Source organism: Homo sapiens, chromosome 1 (assembly GCF_000001405.40).
Source record: "Homo sapiens chromosome 1, GRCh38.p14 Primary Assembly".
Lineage (NCBI taxonomy): Eukaryota > Metazoa > Chordata > Mammalia > Primates > Hominidae > Homo > Homo sapiens.
The window spans coordinates 193,150,877-193,171,137 of NC_000001.11; the positions used below are offsets into that span (position 1 = coordinate 193,150,877).

Sequence of the window (20,261 nt, forward strand, 5' to 3'; positions counted from 1 at the left end):
TCTGATATGTAAGTAAATTATCTATAAATGTTTGCTGTTATTCATACTGCTTTTGTTTTTATATAATTTAAAGTAGAGATTCTATATGTTAAGTCATTTTTCCCAAGTTATAAATGTGTATGTACATTGAGAACTTGGAAACAAATTTTGAGCAATGATGGGAGGACTTACTTTGTGATAGTCTACGTGGTATTCTGGCTAATGCAATAACACCATTTCTGCAGTTGTGAGGTGAGACTAATGTCAGTGTAACTTCCTCTTGGGATCTTCATTCATCATGACTTGATTCATGAAAATATTAGGTAGAAGCAACTGGAAGTTAATGATATTTTTAAGCATAATCTGAAATCTTCATTTAAGTTTTTTTTAAATGATATGTTGCCTTGATGCAATGAATTTTGTGTGCTGACTTCATTCAGTTGTTAAAGGCATGCACTGGATATGTGCCATAGAAAGACTACGTCCATTCTTTCATTATAATATTCAATGTTTTTCTTGAGGAATGAATTATATAAAGCAGAGGTTGATAAATTACAGCCCCCAAACTAAATATCACCCTCCATGGGCCAAATTGGGTTGCCCCCAATTGATCACATATATTGTTTATTCTGCTTTTGCACTAAAATACAGAATTGGGCAGTTGTGACAGATTTTAAGGCTTGCAATGTGTTAAAATATTTGCCTTTACAGAAAGGCATATTGGGATTCTGTCCTGGCACTCCAATCATTATTTACAACATTGCTTTCTATAAAATATGTAATATGGTTGATTGCTGTAGCTCACACCTGTAATCCCAGCACTTTTGGAGGTGGAGGCAGGAGGATTGCTTGAGTTCAGTACTTTGTGACCAGCCTGAGCAACATGGCAAAACCGCATCTCTACTAAAAATACAAAAAAATACCTGGGTGTGGTGGTGCATGCCAGTGGTCCTAGCTACTCGGGAGGCTGAGGTGGGAGGATTGCTTGAACCTGTGGAGGGGGGATGGGAGAAGAGGTTGCAGTGAACTGCAGTGCCACTGTACTCCAGCCTAGGTGACAGAGTGAGACCCTGTCTCAAAAGAAAAAATATATATGTATGTATGTATATAAAAATAAGTATATGCCTTATGACTGAAACTTTGGAACACTACTTTTTATAACTTTGGGTCTTTTCATGGTATTAGATGCTTTTAGTGGTACTATCATTGAGTATTAGTAGTAAGTAATTTGGGGTTATAAAGTATTCAATCTTAATTTTTGAACATAATTGCAGAGATAGTCTTAACCAGCTTCTATACAATAGGCTTGCTGGTCTGTATTTAATATATTAATATTTTTTAACCTAGAGTCCTTTTTAAAGTTTTTATCTTCACAAGTACGTAATTTAATTTTACATAGTAGATTCAAGGCTTTGTATATTATTGAACCATCACATTCAATGTAGATTATTACTTTAGATTTGTTATAGGTCATAAGATACATGATCTATAAAATCTTAACAATAAGCCTCTTTTTTTTCGTAGAAACGGAAGGCTTCAAAATTGACACTATGGGAACCTACCATGGTATGACACTGAAATCTGTAACGGTAAGTTAATTTGGCTGTAGATGTTCTTTTGTTCCAGGGATTTTATGTGAGTAGCACATGTTGAAGTAAATCTTTAGTCTCTCATATTTTTTATTTCAAACATTTTTCTTTATTGATCACTTGTGCTGATTGATCTGTGTGGTGTATTATTTGATTCATGGGTATCCTGTTTCATTTTTCTTTTCCTTCAAATTAAGTTGAATATATGTAAATAAAAGCTGATTTGATTAACTTGCAAGTAGGGCAATGCCACCTGGTCAGTATTTAAAGCCTTTAAGTTATGAGGTCAGTTTGGGAGAGCTTTTTCGCATAATATCTTTTGTTTTTATTTTTATTTATTTATTTATTTTTTTGAGACAGAGTCTCGCTCTGTCGCCCAGGCTGGAGTGCAGTGGTGCGATCTCGGCTCACTGCAACCTCCGCCTCCCGGGTTCACGCCATTCTCCTGCCTCAGCCTCTGCGAGTAGCTGGGACTACAGGTGCCCACCACCATGCCCAGCTAATTTTCTTGTATTTTTAGTAGAGACGGGGTTTCGCTGTGGTCTGGATCTCCTGACCTCGTGATCGCCCGCCTCAGCCTCCTGAAGTGCTGGGATTACAAGTGTGAGCCACCGTGCCCAGCCTTGTTTTTAACAATGTAATGTCTTTCGCTCTTTAAAGAGATGGATTATAGTGATTATAATGCTTACAAAGTATGTAATTAACAGAACTAAATACTTGGGTATCTGTGAATATAAGCCTTTGGTTCATGTTTAGCAAACTTTCTTTTTTTAACCTAAAAATGGTTATTTCTATATATTCTGACCAAGCCATATTTAACATTTTAAATTTTTATTTAATGATCGGACTTGGTGATGTAGAACAGGAATTCTGTTAACCTCATTTTGCATATTTATATTCTAGACCATTCTACCTTTTATACTTTTATTTATATTCTAGATTATTATACTTTTAAAATACTATGCATGTGTATTAAATAGAGTATACTTAAGACACTAATACCAAACTTTTGTCTTTGCTTGTGAATCATCAGATCTTTACGGACTCTATATAACATGGAATCATTATATATGTGCTGTGGTTTCTCAGAATTAACATATAACTTTATATCTACGTGGGCTTTTACGTGTTTTACTCACTCATTTCCAAAAGCAAATAGCAAGTATAGAGATCTGATTTTAAGTTTGTTTTTTTCTGGACTTCAAATTGGGATTGGATATCAGATATTTTGTTAATATACTTGTTTTTAAATTGTCATCAGATTTGTTTTTGTATTATTAAATTATGTGTAGATTAATGAATTCATTCAACAAGTACTTATTGAGCATTTGTGTCAGATCCTGTTCTTGTTGCTGGTCATACAGCTGTGAATAAGACAGATGAGCCTTGTTTAGAGAGAGAAGTCAGAGATACTTCTCTCAGGAGGTAACAGTTGAGCAGAGAGACTTGGATAGCATTCCTCTACGTCAAGGCAGGGATCAAGACTGAGGTCCAGTAGAGCAACAGCAAGGAGGCCAGTGTTGCTAGAGTTTGGAGAACTAAGGGAAAAGTCATCAGGGATTAGATACTCCCATCTTATGCGATCTGCCTGGTTCTTCCTGACTTCAATATATAATTCATGGCTGAAGATTTAGTTTAAATTCTTATGTGATTTGGTTATTGACATCTTGGGAACAGAACTTGCCTACTAATCATTTCCCTAAGTGCGACAGAACTTGCCCGCTGATCATTCCCTGAGTGAATTAGTCGTAGAATGAAGTTGTTACCCTTGGGGAGCCATCAAAGTAAGTTTTTTGTTATTTTTGTGATTGTTGTTTTTACTTTTCTCATCCATCCCTGTACCTCTGAAATGCCATGAAATGGTTTTATTATCTGAGCTTCTTTGCAAGTAGTAAAATCTGTGATGGGTTTTACAGTGATGCTTTGTACAGAGCAGTTTTTCTAAAATTTAAGGATAGCTTCTTTATTGATCAGTATGAGAATGATGTGATTCTGCGGCATCATCAGAGACTGTTCTAAATATACTGAAAGAGGTGAATTTAAGCAATATACTGAAGTATACTGAAAAGAGAGGTGAACTTAAGCAAATTTATGCTGTGTGATTTTTAAAGAATAGTCATGAAAAAGGCATTGTGTAGGAATGCAACAGAAAGACTAAAAATGGTTAAATTGCTGATAGTTATATTAATACCCAGTTTGAATCTCTGTGTTGCTTGTGATCTGATTTATGCAGTTGTTAGAATTAATACATAGAGAAATTTGAACTTGAAAGCTTTGAAGTTCTCAGATAATTATTTTTTAGTTGTGTCTCAGACTTACGTTTTCAATTTAATATTTTTTTCTCTTCTTTTCTGCTTTGGAATTACTACCTATTTGTGAGCTTGTGAGTTGCACCAACTTTCTACCTTATTCTCCAGTCAAGAAAGTTTCTCCTTTATAATATCCACCCAGACATACAGTGATGTTAAATGTATGTTAAAAGGCTTTGCTGCCCAGATGTAACTTCCTTCCTAATTTATGTATAGTTCATTTTTGCAGCCATTGTTCTCCAAGGTTTTGATATGCCTGGTTGATGTACATAGTTAATAAAATTAGGATCAGTCTATGTATCTTTTAAGTTAAACATCAGATTTCTGTTATATGCAAGACTAAATTATGCAGACGGCTAGAATATTTTTATACAGATAATTTCCTATATATATATGTTGTAGAGAAGGATATGTTTTGATAATCACATTTCATAAGAATCATGGGTTAGTGAAAGTTTTTATAGAAGTAAAGGCCCCAGGGAGAGTGCTTTGATAATATTTTATGAAAGTAAGAATTATTCAAACTTATAGCAACAGAAACCCAGGTATCTTTAAAGTTACAAGTTTGTATAGTTGGGTTTCTGGTTAACTTTTGACTTAGGCCATGAAATACGTTTCACAGTAAAGATTCCAGAGGCCCAAGCCATGAAATTGTTGATTTGATAGATAACTTTTCCAAGTTTGGAGCTTTTCCCCCAAATTTGTTGCTTGGGTTCTATAATGTTTAAGAAACACTAGGTTAGGCCAGGCGCAGTGGCTCATGCCTGTAATCCCAGCACTTTGAGAGGCCAAGGTGGGCAGATCACTTGAAGCCAGGAGTTCAAGACCAGCTCGGTTAACATGGCAAAACCCCATCTACTAAAAATACAAAAATTAGCCAGGATGTGATGACGTGTGCATGTAATCCCAGCTACTCCCGAGGCTGAGGCAGGAGAATTGTTTGAACCCAGGAGGAGGAGGCTGCAGTGAGCCAGGATTATGCCACTGCACTCCAGTCTGGGTGACAGAGTGAGACTCTGTCTCAAAAACAAACAAAAAACCCCACTAGATTAAACAGATTTTGTGGTTCAGGAATCTCATTGTTTTTAATGTATGAGTATCTAAATTGGAAGAATATTCAGTCTTTCTCAAGCTTATTTAACCCCCTGAGTTTGCCCCTACCCTAACACCTAGGGAATATTCTTTGAAAGGACTAGTGTTTCATAGAATCAGGTTAAGTAAAGCTATCTCAGAATTATGTGTTAGAAGTAGAAACCATTCAGTGGGGGAAATAACAATATATTTTCATGGTTTCATTTTGTGATAGGGTCATATTAGACAAAGAATGTCACTTGATAAAGTTTATTGTATAGTAAATAAGAGGATATAATGAAGGTCTGTTTTTGTTAGTTTGCAAGGAACCAATTTATGGTTCCACTGGAGAAATAATCAGATGGTGATCACAGTTCACTCTTATTAGTGAGGATTTGGTAGTTGCCTTGAGAACAACTTCATTTTAACCTGTCTAGCCTGTTCATATTTAACTGGAAGGGTTACAGACTCTAACCTCTATTTGTTCTTAGTGAGTATCATTGACTCTTGATTACCTTTACTGTCTTCATTTTTGCGGAAGCATCTCACACCCTGCAATTATAGAGATTAAAAGCTTTCCTTTAAGATCTTTGCTTGAATTTATTCCAACAGTCATCATAGTTCTTACACTAAGTGTGTTTTGGGGAACGATTTTTTTTGACAGTAAGTAAACTTAGGTAGCTTTATATAATTTGTTAGAGGTGTGATAATATCACCATCAATTCTCAGGAGGATCCAGAATCTCAGTCTGTCAACCAGGTTAGATTCTTAAAAGCAGGAACACATACATAGCACTCTCCCCACCCCACCACTGTTTTATAAAGCTTCCTTCATTCCCATTTGGTTATTGATTAATTTGTTGTTCATCTCTGCTTGAAGTGTTACGGGAGTGCTATAGTAGCAGTAATGTTCTGGAGTTGAGTGTAGAGTTCAGCTCTGCAGATAATGGAGACTCTCTTAAAAGCTGTTTTCCTTGGGGTTCTATTTCCTTTTCTTCCTCTTTCCTTTAGCAAATATTTGTTGAGTGCATGCTGTGTGCCTGGCAGTGTGCTGAGTGCTGGGACATCAAAGATGAACAAAACCAGACGTGTTCATACGGACTTTATGATCTGATTGGGGAGGGACACATTAGTCACACTATAAAATTGTGACTATGACAAGTGTTAAAGGTACGTTGTGCAACAAGAGCCTAAAATTGGGGGATTTGTTGCAGGAGTCAGAATACTTCATTTAGGAGGTAATTCTTGAATAAGATCAGAAGTTTATGTAGGATTTAACTTGGTGATGATGACAGGAAAACACATTTTAGGAGCAGTGAACAAAAAGCAGTAGTAAAAGCCCTGTGATGGGGAGAGAGTGGGGAGTAGAAAGATTTGAAAGAAGACTGGTTATTGTATATATTTTAAGGATGCTTGTAGGAAAGTTTGTTTTTCTTCTTCCTGCCTGTTCGTAAATGTTAGTGGATTATTACATTACATTGCACTAACGTTTATGAACAGTCAGGAAGAAGAAGATGGTAAGGTAGATCATATGTCTCTTTTAGCATGCTTCTGATGGAGTCATTCATTGTGCCAATCTAAATGTGGCCACAGATATGTTTTATTAGGCATCCATTATAATTTAAGTTTTTATCTTATTCACCACCATTTAAAAATTAGAGCTTGTCACATAAACAGTCTGGATTTCCAGCTTCCTTAAAATCTATCTGGCATGACTGCGTACTGGGTCTGTAGTCTCACATGGCAACAGCCACATCCACCTGAGCAGGAGCTACCTCCTTTAGATAAGAGGTTTTCTCTAGATTGCCACAGGCCTCATTACTCTGTTATCTTTTATTTAGCCTTCTTTACTTATTTCTGCTACATCTATAGACTGTTTTGGCCGTCTAGTTTGAAATCCCTGCTCTAGAGGCAGCACCAGTTTGTTAAAGATAAGTTAATCAGTTGGAAATACAACAAATATAAGGCTTTGAAGTCAGTGCTGGCTTTGATTTTCAGTTCTACCATTCATTCTCCTGCTTGTGAAGTTGAGGAGGTTATTTAACCTTTCTATCAGTGATTTTGTTTTTATTTTATAATATATATAATAGAACTTACATCATAGTATTGTTGAAGATTAAAGGAGACACTGTATAAAATGCTTAGTACAAAGAGGCTTAACAAATGGTAGCTACTTGTATTATTAATTTATGATTCTGTAAACTTAATTAGATGTATGTGTAAATGTAGGCAACTATATAGCTTTATTGTACTTATAATTTATTATATTTATTAATATATGTATTTAGTATTGTTAATGATATAATTTTCATTCAAAGTTATAAAGACTAGTTTATATAAATATTATGATAGTCTTTTTCTTTCAAGTAATTGGGGTGTTTTTGCAACAACTATGTATGTTTATCTTATAGCAGAGATCTTTTGCATTTGAGAGAAAGTAGCTGCAAATAAGTTGTTTAAAGAGGGTAATAACTAGGTTGGCCTTTTCCATCCATCTGTTAGGACTCATACTTAGAAAGAAATGTAATTTCTTTTAGTTTTAAGTTACTGATTTTCTGGACAGGATGGTGGCTCACAGCTATAATCCTAGAACTTTGGGAGGCTGAGGCAGGAGGGTAGCTTGAGGCCAGGAGTTTGAGACCAGCCTGTGCAAAGCAGCGAGACCCTGTCTCTAAAAATAAAAAAAAAAATTAAGTAACTTTCATCTGAAAATTATATAAAGTGTTCAGGATTTTAATATGTAGTTACATAATTATAAGTAGGAATATTACTTTTATAAAATGTTTTTTCTGTACTCTGTGTTTAGACTGGCATATTATTCTATTTGAGAATATTATATTACACTTTAAACAATTTTCAAAACTTGTTGCTTGTCTTGATATTTCAGGAAACAGAGTGGTTCTATCATGTGTCCGCCTAGCAGTATAAAGGTGTACCCCTTAAATGAAACACTATTTTTTATATATATGTAAAAACTGTTTACAAAATGTAAAAATTAAGATAGTATGTATATAATAGTCCATTGTATCCCTTAAGTTTTGAAAGTTTATTTTATATACTTGTTACCTGTTACATGAACATATTATGTGTTACGGAACATATATCCGTATTAACATATTATCTGTTGTATACAGTTTTTTGTTAGATATGCATTTTTCATAGACTTTTCTAAGAAGCCATCACGTAAGTGAATAGGCAATATTTTTTTCTCTTTTAGCACAAAGAAGCTCAACAAATGGTACTTGTAAAAAATCCTTTATATCCCTTTTATAATAATTTTCCCCCTTGTGATTTTTTCCAACTTTTTTTGACGGGGGCAGATAATGTTCTGGTTATAGATTTGGACCAAGTCTTAATATAAGGGAGATAAAAGAGAGAACTTTATATTATGATTTGTTGGCCTGTTTGTTACAGCAAATTAAGCTTCAGTTTTCTCATCAGAAAGGTGGTATAACTTCCTTAGGGATTTGTTTTGAGGTTTAACTGTATCCAGTTACACCTTGTTTAGCATTGCCCTTTTCACTGCTTCTTTAAAAGTTTATTTTGTTTTTTTATTACTGTTTTTGAGATGGAGTTTCACTGTCTCACCCAGGCTGGAGTGCGGTAGCGTGATCTCAGCTCAGTGCAACATCCGTCTCCTGGGTTCAGGTGATTCTCCTGCCTCAGCCTCCCAAGTAGCTGGGATTACAGGCGTGCACCACCATGCCTGGCTAATTTTTTGTATTTTTAGTAGAGACTGTATTGGCCAGGCTGGTTGCGAACTCCTGACCTCAAGCGATCTGCCTGCGTCAGCCTCCCAAAGTGCTTGGATTACAGGCGTGAGCCACCGTGCCCGGCCTCCTTTCACTGCTTTTTGATTGCAGTATGGAATTAATTGTAGTTATTGCATAAATGTTTTTATATTAAACATATATAATATTTTGTAAACGTTTTATACTGAATAATACAGATATACTCTTTTTCTCTAATTGGCTAGTATTTAGACTGAACACTTATTTAGATGGGTAAATATTAAATCATTTCATGCCTTCCTTGTAGTAAGAGGTGTTAGAATCTGATTTAACCTTAATATTTTGCCAGCATTATTAGCATTTTGGTGCTAATGTACTTCAAGAAAAATGAATTACAGCAACAACATATTCATGTCAGGGAATTTTAATACATATAAAGCGAATATTATTTTTATGTGGTTTAGTTTATATATCTTAACTGAGATTTATTGAAAATCCATTGCACACTGGTTGATACATTTTGTGTAAGCCTGTACAATTCAACTCAATTTAGCTTTGCATTTTGTTAAAGAATAACTATTAGTTTACCCAAAACATATTAGAGGTTTTAGTTAATATCTGTAACATAACTTTTAAAATTATTCTGCCGATGACTATGGAGTTAATGCCACAATCACAAAACACTTGAGATTTATTTTAGAAAGAAAGAAAAGTTATTGTTGCCACGTATATCAGAGTAATCTTGAAATCAAGATTACTAATAATTTTTAGTAATAAATTTAACATCACTTTGTTTTAAAATGCTGTAATATTGATCGTTGTAAGAATAGGAAACACAGAAACCAGTTTGGAAATATATTTTGTTAAATAACAAAAATTTATACTATGAAACATAGTTTTGGTTACATATATTCTCTTATAGTTTAGTATATAATGCTGTAGTTATAGATGACTTTCAGAATTGCACAAAGATTTTAGTTTTCTTTCAGCTTAATAGAGCTTTTTATTCCACTTTCTATTTACCTGCATCAGTGTAACTTTAATTCAATTTTAACAAAATTATTGTCAGTGTTAAACATATTTTATAACTTTTAATTTCCTACTACTCCTTGTATTTTTAGATTAACCACTGTTCTTTAACATACAAATGCTTTTATTTTCTGTATTTCTCTTTATTATTTTGAACAAATATTAATCTTTAATGTCCCTTTTAACTTTATGACAGATGTTTTAAATCAATTGGTTTATATGAAAAAAACCTAGTATATTTAATAACATGCTATATTTGGGTGTTTGGGTATGTCCTTGATGGGAACTTTTCCATTGGCTATTGCTGGCTGAACATTAGTTTGTTGGATCAATTTCTCGGTCTTTGTAAATTGATTTAGATTTTTGAGTGACTTTTTAATCTTTTATATAATTCCTGCATTCAAATTTTTTAAATTAATTGTCTCAGTATTTTTGTCTTAGTATTCATTGAAGTGTCTAGTTAGTTCATCCCCTTTCCCCTCCCCCATCCTACCAAACCTCATTTGATCTTTAATTCTAAGTTTTGGTTTCTTTTCCAGGTCTTTTTCTTGATGGATGTTTCTTTTAGTGTTGTTCTTCTTGTCTTTCCTGCTTCTCATGTTCCTCTGTGAGTGACTGTTCCCATGTTTTTTTTAAATACCTGTTTTTAAACTCTTACTTGCTTCTGGACTGGACAAATCTTGCTATTTAGAAACTAAGTTCTTATTTGAAATTTCAGAATGGTGCTTTGCACTGAATCCATTGAAGACATATTCACTTGAAATGCTTAGAAATGAAAAATTTTAAGATCTTACTTTTGTTTTAATTAGAGACAAAAGTCATACCATAGAACTCAGATAACTCACTGTTGAACTTGTCATATTTTATGGGTGTCATTGAAAAAGCTTTTATTTTTACATTTAGATTTTTGAAACTATATAAGATCAAATTAGAGTTTTATTTTGAAATCAAGTCAATTTAACTTTATTTATACACACGCATATATATATTATTATATAATATATAATAGATAATATATAATAGATAATATATATTATATGATAGATATATAATATATTATATAATATATAATATATTATATATCTATCATATAATATATATAATATATAATATATTATATATCTATCATATAATATAATATATATAATATATAATATATATCATATTATATTGTATATAATATATATCATATTATATTGTATATAATATATATCATATTATATTGTATATAATATATATCATATTATATTGTATATAATATATATCATATTATATTGTATATAATATATATCATATTATATTGTATATAATATATATCATATTATATTGTATATAATATATATCATATTATATTGTATATAATATATATCATATTATATTGTATATAATATATATCATATTATATTGTATATAATATATATCATATTATATTGTATATAATATATATCATATTATATTGTATATAATATATATCATATTATATTGTATATAATATATATCATATTATATTGTATATAATATATATCATATATTATCTATTATATTGTATATAATATATATTATATATTATCTATTATATTGTATATAATATATATTATATATTATCTATTATATTGTATATAATATATATTATATATTATCTATTATATTGTATATAATATATAATAAATATAGTATATATAATAGATAATATATAGTATATATGATATATTATATATACTATATATTATATATCATATATACTATATACTATATATTATATATACATATATATTATATATAGTGTATATATATATATACACATATGAAGACAGAGTCTCACTCTGTCGCTCAGGCTGGAGTGCAGTGGCATGATCTCAGCTCACTGCAGCCTCTGCCTCCCAGGTTCAAGCAATCCTCCTGCCTCAGCCTCCTGAGTAGCTGAGACTACAGGCGTGCACCACCACGGCCTGGCAATTTTTTGTATTTTTAGTAGAGATTTCACCATGTTGGCCATGCTGGTCTCGAACTCCTGACCTCAAGTAATCTGCCCACCTCAGGCTTCCAAAGTGCTGGGATTACAGGCGTGAGCCACCACACCCCGCCAGTTTAACATTTTTACACATTACAATTAAAATTGATTCAGTCTTTTATCATCCTCTACAGTGAATTCTGGACATTATCAATCCTGTAATCATTTACCTCCCCAAATTTGGTATTTTTGGAGAGATGCTCCAGTTTTTCTACAGTGTCTTTTTGTCATTTCTGTCTTATGTGTGGTGCCATAAATATTCTGGAATTGAATTCCTAATATATTTCATTATACCAAACTTGAGAACTAAAATAAAGCAGCTTTTTGATCTTTCAGAAGTTACTGAATTCTTACTTGTGTTCTATAGATGGCTTTTAGAAAATAACACCCCATTCAGCTTCTGATAGGATTATAATATTTTAGTAACTTATCTAGCTACACAAGGTATTTCACAATATCCTTAGGAATTACTGAGTTTTAGAGTGACAGAATAATTACCAATTATTCTGATAGTAAATTTGTAGGTACATTATAATTCATCAAGAACTTTGTGGGGTTGTGTGTGTGTGTGTGTGTGTGTGTGGGTGTGTGTGTATATTTTTTTTTTCCCCCTCCTAGAAAAGTTAACAGGCTGGGCGCAGTGGCTCATGCCTGTAATCCCTGCACTTTGGGAGGCTGAGGCGGGTGGATTCCTTGAGCCCAGAAGTTCGAGACCAGCTTGGGCAATTTGGCAAAATCCCGCCTCTACAAAAATATTCAAAAATTAGCCGAGCGTAGTGGTATGTGCCTGTAGTCTCAGGTACTCAGGAGGCTGAGGCAGGTAGATTGATTAAGCCCAGGAGGTCAAGGCTGTAGTGAGCCATGATTGCGCCACCACACTCCAGCGTGGGCAACAGAATGAGACCCTGCCCGCCCCCCAAAAAAAGAAGTTACTTTAAGAAGAAACTTCAAGAACGTAACTATTTAAATAACTTGATATTGGAAAATATTTTTCTTTACCTAGGTTAACTGCAGTAGACATAAATCATCTAATACTTTCTAATAAATTGATAGGTACCAATTTTGGGGCACCTGTGATAGACATTTGTATTATTTCTAACTTTCTGAGTCATCATTAATATTTTTGAAAAGTTTGTATAACTTTTAAAGCTTTAAACATCAGTGTAAAAAGGCTATAGTATAGTAGATTTTTTTGTTTTTTGAGATGGAGTCTCACTCTTGTCACCCAGGCTGGAGTGCAGTGGCGTGATCTGGATCAACTGCAACCTCCGCTTCCCAGGTTCAAGCTGTTCTCCTGCCTCAGTCTTCTGAGTAGCTGGTATTACAGGTGCCCGCCACCACACCCAGCTAATTTTTGTACTTTTTAGTAGATGGGGTTTCGCCATGTTGGCCAGGCTGGCCTTGAACTCCTGACCTCAAGTGATCGGTGGCCTCCCAAAGTGCTGGGATTGCAAGCATGAGCCACCATGCCCAGCCCAGTATAGTAGATTTTACAAAACTATGCTTCATTGTGTCATACTGGCAGTATTACATTTACATTTTATATTAGAAACCTCTTGTAGATCATCGAAGACTAGTCCATAGTACATAGTAACTGGTTCTAAGTGACTGAATAATTTCAGTCAACATATTTTCTGTGTAACAGATCAAAGGAGAAATAACTGCTGGTGATGAACAGCAGTGTGGAGGTTTTGTTGCCTATGGTTGATCAGCTGCCTGAATCCTGAGTTGTCTCATAGGGTGGCATTATGTTAGTAATTTGCTGTAGCCCAGAGAAAGGCTGAGAAACTAAGTAATGTTAGTATACCATGAGAAACTGATTCATTTTAATTAAGCTTATGAGAGTAGCATTTGAAATCAAATGCTGATTTATTAATTTGCAGTGATAAATGTAATTAACAAGGGCACTGGATTCTCACCTCTAGCACATAACATGTTCTCTGTGTAAAGCTACATTGGAAATCACAGTGTACTGTGCAATGAGCATATAATAAATTATATCCTTCAAATGTTTAGTGGTATTAAAGTAGTCTGTTATTTTTAACTCTTCATTAAAAAAAAGGACTTGTTGCAAGTCCAGGGTACCTTTCCCCTTGGGCACTGCTTAGATAGGTTTTGATTTGCCATTGTGATTTCTATTCCTTGTTGTGTCTGACTAATCCCTTGCCAGATGGATATGATGTGTTATTTCTTTAGATGTATAGATTACTGAGTCAACTTTAGGACTGTGTTTCATTCCATTCTATTTGATTTGTTAAAAAGTGTTGGTGAGGGAACTAGCTCTTTTGAATTTGGGATTTATAATGTAGATATCCAAAGGATCTGATTTATCACAGGAGAGGTGAGGAGCGATAGACTGACCTTTCTGCACGTTTGAGCTGTAAATTTAGGATTAGTCACATTTAGCTTTGTTGATTTGGAAGGGGAGAGAAGAGCAGGGATTTCCTGCTGGGTTTTGGAAATCTTTCTTTCTTTTTAAAGAGATGAGGTCTCACTACGTTGCCCAGGTTGGACTTGAACTCTGGGCTCAAGCCATCCTCCTGCCTTAAGTACCTGAGATTGCAGGTGTATGCCACTTTCCTCAGCATGGAAATCACTTTCTCTACCTTTCACTTATTACAGGTTGATAGTCAAATTAATGAGGCTCCTTAAACCTCACCCTCCCAATTAGTAATTTCAGTGCTGCAAAGACATTACAATTTAAGTGTTTCTTAGCATTGTATAAAAGTACTTAAGATTCAGAATGCAGTCAATATGAGTAAAAAATCAAATATGGTTAAAGTGCAAATAAAGTAGTATCATTGTAAAGTACAAATAGAGAAGTATAAAGAAGACTTTATGTATCAGTAGATAAGTAATAATTATATGTTGGGATGAACGTTTTACACAGTCTCAGGATGGACACATTAAAAAATTCTGCTGTGACATATTTGAAAGACGTGAAGATACATACAGCATAAATGCAAAGCATGAAATATTTTTCATAATTGGTGGATTGTGTAAAAGTTTTGTTTACATTTTACTCATTTGATTGTATTTACATAAAATGTATTTAGTGAAATTACCAGAACCATTTTCAGTAATAGAAGAAAATAATTAGTCTTTTTCTCTCTTTCACACATGGATGCATGCACATGCATTCGTATCTCTCTCTCCCTCCCACATATGCATAAAATTGATCAAAATGTGGTTGAGGTCTCCACTGGTACACTTAAGCTGAGCATGCTAACATTTGGTCTGTAAGGAACAACCTACCATTTTTATATGTGCCCTTATTTACTTACACTGTATTGATATTTGGTGTTTGCCCATAAAAATAAGCCAGCCATCCTTTCACTATGAGTTTTACATGTAAGTTCTGTTATGCCTTGTAATTTTAGGTTGACTTTGTTAAAAAACAATTATCAAGTTAGTCATAAAACCTAGTTTCCAAAACCAGTGTTTGTTATCTAAGCTGAACTCTTAGAAACTTTAATGTGAAATTATTTTTAATGATAATATAAAAATGAAGAGTCAGGTATGAGCAAAAGTAAGTAATATAGCAGGAGTTTGTATAGTTTAAGTGCATTTTTTTTTCTTTCTTTCTTTTTGGAAACAGGGTCTTGCTCTGTCACCCAGGCTGGAATGTAGTTGTACAGTTAGAGCTCATTGCAGCCTTTATTTCCTGGGCTCAATCACTGCTCCCACCTCAGCTGGGACCACAGGCATGCACTGCAATGCCCAGCTAATTTTGGTATATTTTGTAGAGACACGGTTCACTGTGTTGCCCGGGCTGGTCTCTAACGATCCTCCTGCTTTGGCTTCTCAAAGTGCAGAGATTACAGGTGTGAGCCACTGCGCCCAGCCTTAAGTGTGTTTTCATTATTGCCTTACATTTTTTAGTCTACAGTGATTTAAAATGGTTTAAATGTAATGATTTAAGTTGGGGATTGACAAACCTCTTCTTTAAAGGGCCAGAAACTAAGTACTTTAGGCTTACAGGCCGATAGACAAAACCACGGAAATTATGTAGGTGCTTATGTAACAAGAGATAAATCAAATTTTCACACTTTTTTTCTTTTTTTTTTTTTTTGAGACCGAGTTTTGCTCTTGTTGCCCCTGGAGTACAGTGGAGCTATCTTGGCTCACCACAACCTCTGCATACCAGGTTCAAGCGATTGTCCTGCCTCAGCCTTCCCGAGTAGCTGGGATTACAGTTATGCGCCACCACGCCCGGCTATTTTGTATTTTTAGCAGAGACGGGGTTTCTCCGTGTTGGTCAGGCTGGTCACAAATTTTTAATGACAAGTACAATGCATGATAATAATGTGCAATACTGATTTGATAATGAGAATAATGGAATTTCTTTTTGGGTGTGAGGGAACATTTTGCTTAATTGAAGTTCCAAGTTAGTGTTCTCTATGACCAAAATTGATTGCAAATTCATCAATGCTGGTTTATAATGAGATTTTATGTATTATTTCAAAATTCATTAACTATGTAATTGGGGAACTTCCACATAACCCTCCTTTGGCAGTGATAAATCTGCAAATAATCAAGAAAATAGTGTAGTAGAATTCTTAGATGGACTAAATTTGCCCATCTGAGCTGTTTTCAGCTCCACACATAGTTTTAACTACCATTTGTTTGGTAGCATCAGCATCTTAATAGATTCCCCTTCAGGTTGTACTTCATTAGTGTTTTCTGAACTACTTTGAAATTACTCCTGCCTGTAGTTTTTTTATGTAGGCTACTCATAGAGGCTAATTCCTCAGCCACTTCAAAACATGATTTGGACTCCTCGAATAAACCATAACTGAGTGGTATTAGTAACATGTTAACAAGCGCCAAAGAAAACCACTCAGTCATTTGCCTTGACTTCTGATTGACAATTGATGTTGCTACACCATGACCTCAACTCATTAAGCAGTAGTGAAAGGCTAATAGTCTAAAACAAATTTATTTCCTCTGAATACATTTTTGACTGCTTTAATCAAATCAAATTTAATTAATTAACCATAGATTAACCATTTTCCTTCCCTGGCTAACAAGGAACCTCTCAAATTTGCTTCACAGCCTAATTTTAATTTTTTAATTTTTGTAAAGAAATTTTGTGTTTTCTGACCATTCCTTTCATCTGAGTTGGGAATGTTGCAATGAGGGCTTAGTCTGGTAATATTTATATTGTATTCTTTTAGCACAGTTGTAGTGTCATTGCATTAGATGGTAAACAGTGCTTTGCCATCTGATTTTATTGTACATTAAAGAGCATACTACTTTTCTTGTGTTTTTTTGTTGTTTTTTTGAGATGGAATCTCACTCTGTTGCCCAGTCTTCAGTACAGTGGTGCAATCTTGGCTTACTGCAACCTCTGCCTCCCGGGTTCAAGCAGTTCTCCTGCCTCAGCCTCCTGAGTAGCTGGGATTACAGATGCCTGCCACCACGACTGGCTAATTTTTGTATTTTTAATAGAGACAGGGTTTCACCATGTTGGCCAGGCTGGTCCCAAACTCCTGACCTCAAGTGATCTGCCCGCCTCCACCTCTGAGTGCTGGGATTACAGGTGTGAGCCACTGTGCCTGGCCTCTTTTTGTTTTAATGTGATGAGTAGGTACCAGCCTCTTTTTGTTTTAATGTGGTGTAGGTACCAGTAATTAAAAAAATAAAATTCAGATGTCCTTATGTGACAAAATGCTTGGCACACAAAATGCTGTGTTTTGCATTCATCCAGGAAATGTTTGCTGTGTGCCTGCTGTATGCTAGGCAGTATTGTAGGCCCTGGGGATATAAATAGGAGGGAGGACAAACAAAATTTAGTGTTACATGCTTTTTGGAGGATTAAAGTAAGGTAAAGCAATATAATTGCATTTTTTGTGATTTGTATTGTGCCAACTGGCAGTGCTAACTAAACCTGAGAGTACCACATAAGGTTTCTGTTGTCCATGTTTAACTCTGCCTTTTTTTTTTTTTGAGACAGAGTCTCTCTCTGTCACCCAGATGGAATGCAGTAGCGCAATCTTGCCTCACTGCACCCTCCATTTCCCGGGTTCAAGCAGTTCTCTGGCCCAGCCTCCTGAGTAGCTGGGATTACAGGCGCCTGCCACCATGGCTGGCTAATTTTTGTATTTTTAGTAGAGACGGGGTTTCACCAAGTTGGCCAGGCTGGTCTCAAAACACCTGACGTCAGGTGATCCACCCGCCTCAGCCTCCCAAAGTGCTGGGATTACACGCGTGAGCCACAGCGTCTGGCTGACCTCTGCTGTTTTAAAGGCAGTCATCGACAATAGGTAAATGAATGAGTTTGGTTGCATTACAGTAAATCTTTATAGATGCTACAATTTGAATTTCGTGTAATTTTTACATTTTAAATAATACTTTTGATTATCTAGATTTTTTTTTCAACCATTTAAAGTGTAAAAACCAGTCTTGGCCTGTGTGCCATACAAAAACAAGTAGCAGCCTGGATTTGGCTCACTGCTGTATTTTGCTTACTCTTGACTTAAATTTTTATCAGTGGATATGGAGGCAACTGTTTATTTCTAATTCAAGTAATTAGTACTTGTCTCATTTTATGTCTTTAGAAATTGATGTTTAGATGAATTTTAAGAAGGATGCTATTTAAACACACCCATACCTGGCATATGCATTAAGTAAAAATATGAACTTTAACATTAAATTTGTGAGAATGATGCTGGGTATGGTGGCTCACACCTGTAATCCTAGCACTTGGGGAGGCCAAGGCCGGTGTATCACTTGAGGCCAGGAGTTCGAGACCAGCCTGGCCAACATGGTGAAATCCTGTCTCTACTAAAAATACAAAAATTAGCTGGGCGTGGTGGCACATGCCTATGATCCCAGCTGCTAAAGAGGCTGAGGTAGGAGGATCACTTGAGCCCAGGAACCAGAGGTCACAGTGAGCCAAGATCACATCACTGCACCCCAGCCTGGGCGACATAGCAAGACTCTGTCTCAAAAAAAAATAAAAAATAAATTTGTAAGAATGGAGGCAGTTGCATAATGGCTGATGCCTATGTACTGTAGATAAAATTACTTTCCTGTTTATCTTATGAGATGCAAGAATATTAAATGAAACTTGTTAATGATGAATTTGGATTTTATAAAGCAATAAGAGGCAATGCTGTAAGATGTATTTCCAAATGAGTTTTTGAAAATAAAATCCTGACAAATATTTTTTCTTAGTGTGATCCCTTTTGTAATTTTATTTCTTTTTTTTTTAACTTTTAAGTTCAGGGGTACATGTGCAGGTTTGTTACACATGTAAACTTGTGTCATGGGGGTTTGTTGTACAGATTATTTCATCACCCAGGTATTAAGCCTAATACCCATTAGTTATTTTTTCTGATCCTCTCTCTCTGCTCTCCACCCTCCGACAGGCCCCAGTATGTGTGATTCCCCTCTATGTATCTGTGTATTATCATCATTTAGCTGCCACTTATACGTGAGAACATGTGGTATTTGTTTTTTTTTCCTGTGTTAGTTTGCTAAGGATAATGGTCTCTAGCTCCATCCATGTCCCTGCAAAGGATATGATCTCATTCTTTTTTATCACTGCATAGTATTCCATGGTGTATATGTAACATTTTCTTTATCCAGTCTATCATTGATGGGTATTTAGGTTGATTCCATGTCTTTGCTACTTTGACTAGTGCTGCAGTGAATATACGCATGCATGTGTCTTTATAATAGAATGATTTATATTCCTTTGAGTATATAACCAGTAATGAGATTGCTGGGTTCAGTGGTATTTCTCTCTTTAGGTCTTTGAGGAATCACCACAGTTTCTTTCACAATAGTTGAATTAATTTACACTTTCATCAACAATGTGTAAGCCTACCTTTTTCTACACAACTTTGCCAGCATCTTGTTTTTTGATAGCCGTTCTGACTGGCGTGAGATGGTATCTTTACTGTGGTTTTGATTTCCATTTCTCTAATGATTAGTGATGTTGAGCTTGTTTTCATATGATTGTTGGTGATGTATGTCTTCTTTGGAAAAGTGATCATGCCCTTTGCCTACTTTTTAATGATTTTTGTTGTTGTTGTTGTTTATTTGTTTAAGTTCCATATAGATGCTGGATATTTGACCTTTGTTGGATGCATAGTTTGCAAAAATTTTCCCATATTTTGTTGGTTTTCTTTTTACTCTGTTGATAGTTTCTTTTGCTGTGCAGAATCTCTTTTGCTTAGATCCTATTTGTCATCTTTTGCTTTTGTTGAGTTACTTTTGATGTCTAATTATCCCATCAAGTAAGTGCTACACCCTGAACTGGAGGCAACATCTTTCTAAAACACATCTGTGAGCAAAGGGGGCACAGCCACATTTTGTGGGAGATGCATTTCAGCATCAGGAGGCAGTTAAGTCTGCACAGGTTATCCAAGGACTATATGGATAACTCACAAGTGTTTACCCCTCCAGAGAAAAGCCCTGTGTGATAACTGCTGTCTTTCAACTGTGGAGACTGAGGCACACACTGGCAAGCAAATTGCTTTAGGAACTATTGGCAAACAGGATCAAGAAAGAATTAGCCTCTGCTGAACACTGCA

At 34.9% G+C, this 20,261-nt stretch overlaps 1 protein-coding gene across 2 annotated transcripts in view; it reads left to right on the forward strand.

Moving 5' to 3' along the window:
- The window catches only part of CDC73 (cell division cycle 73), a 132,785-nt gene that overhangs the window by 28,846 nt on the left and 83,678 nt on the right, over window positions 1-20,261 (forward strand). Inside the window, exons 10-11 of one of the 2 annotated variants that reach the window (XM_006711537.5) lie at window positions 1,504-1,568; window positions 10,247-10,640. In XM_006711537.5, the coding sequence (XP_006711600.1) occupies window positions 1,504-1,568; window positions 10,247-10,318 (137 nt within the window). In that variant the 3' untranslated portion in view covers window positions 10,319-10,640. Of the gene's footprint in view, window positions 1-1,503; window positions 1,569-10,246; window positions 10,641-20,261 lie in introns of those variants that run through there. The other variant, NM_024529.5, reaches the window with a different exon arrangement.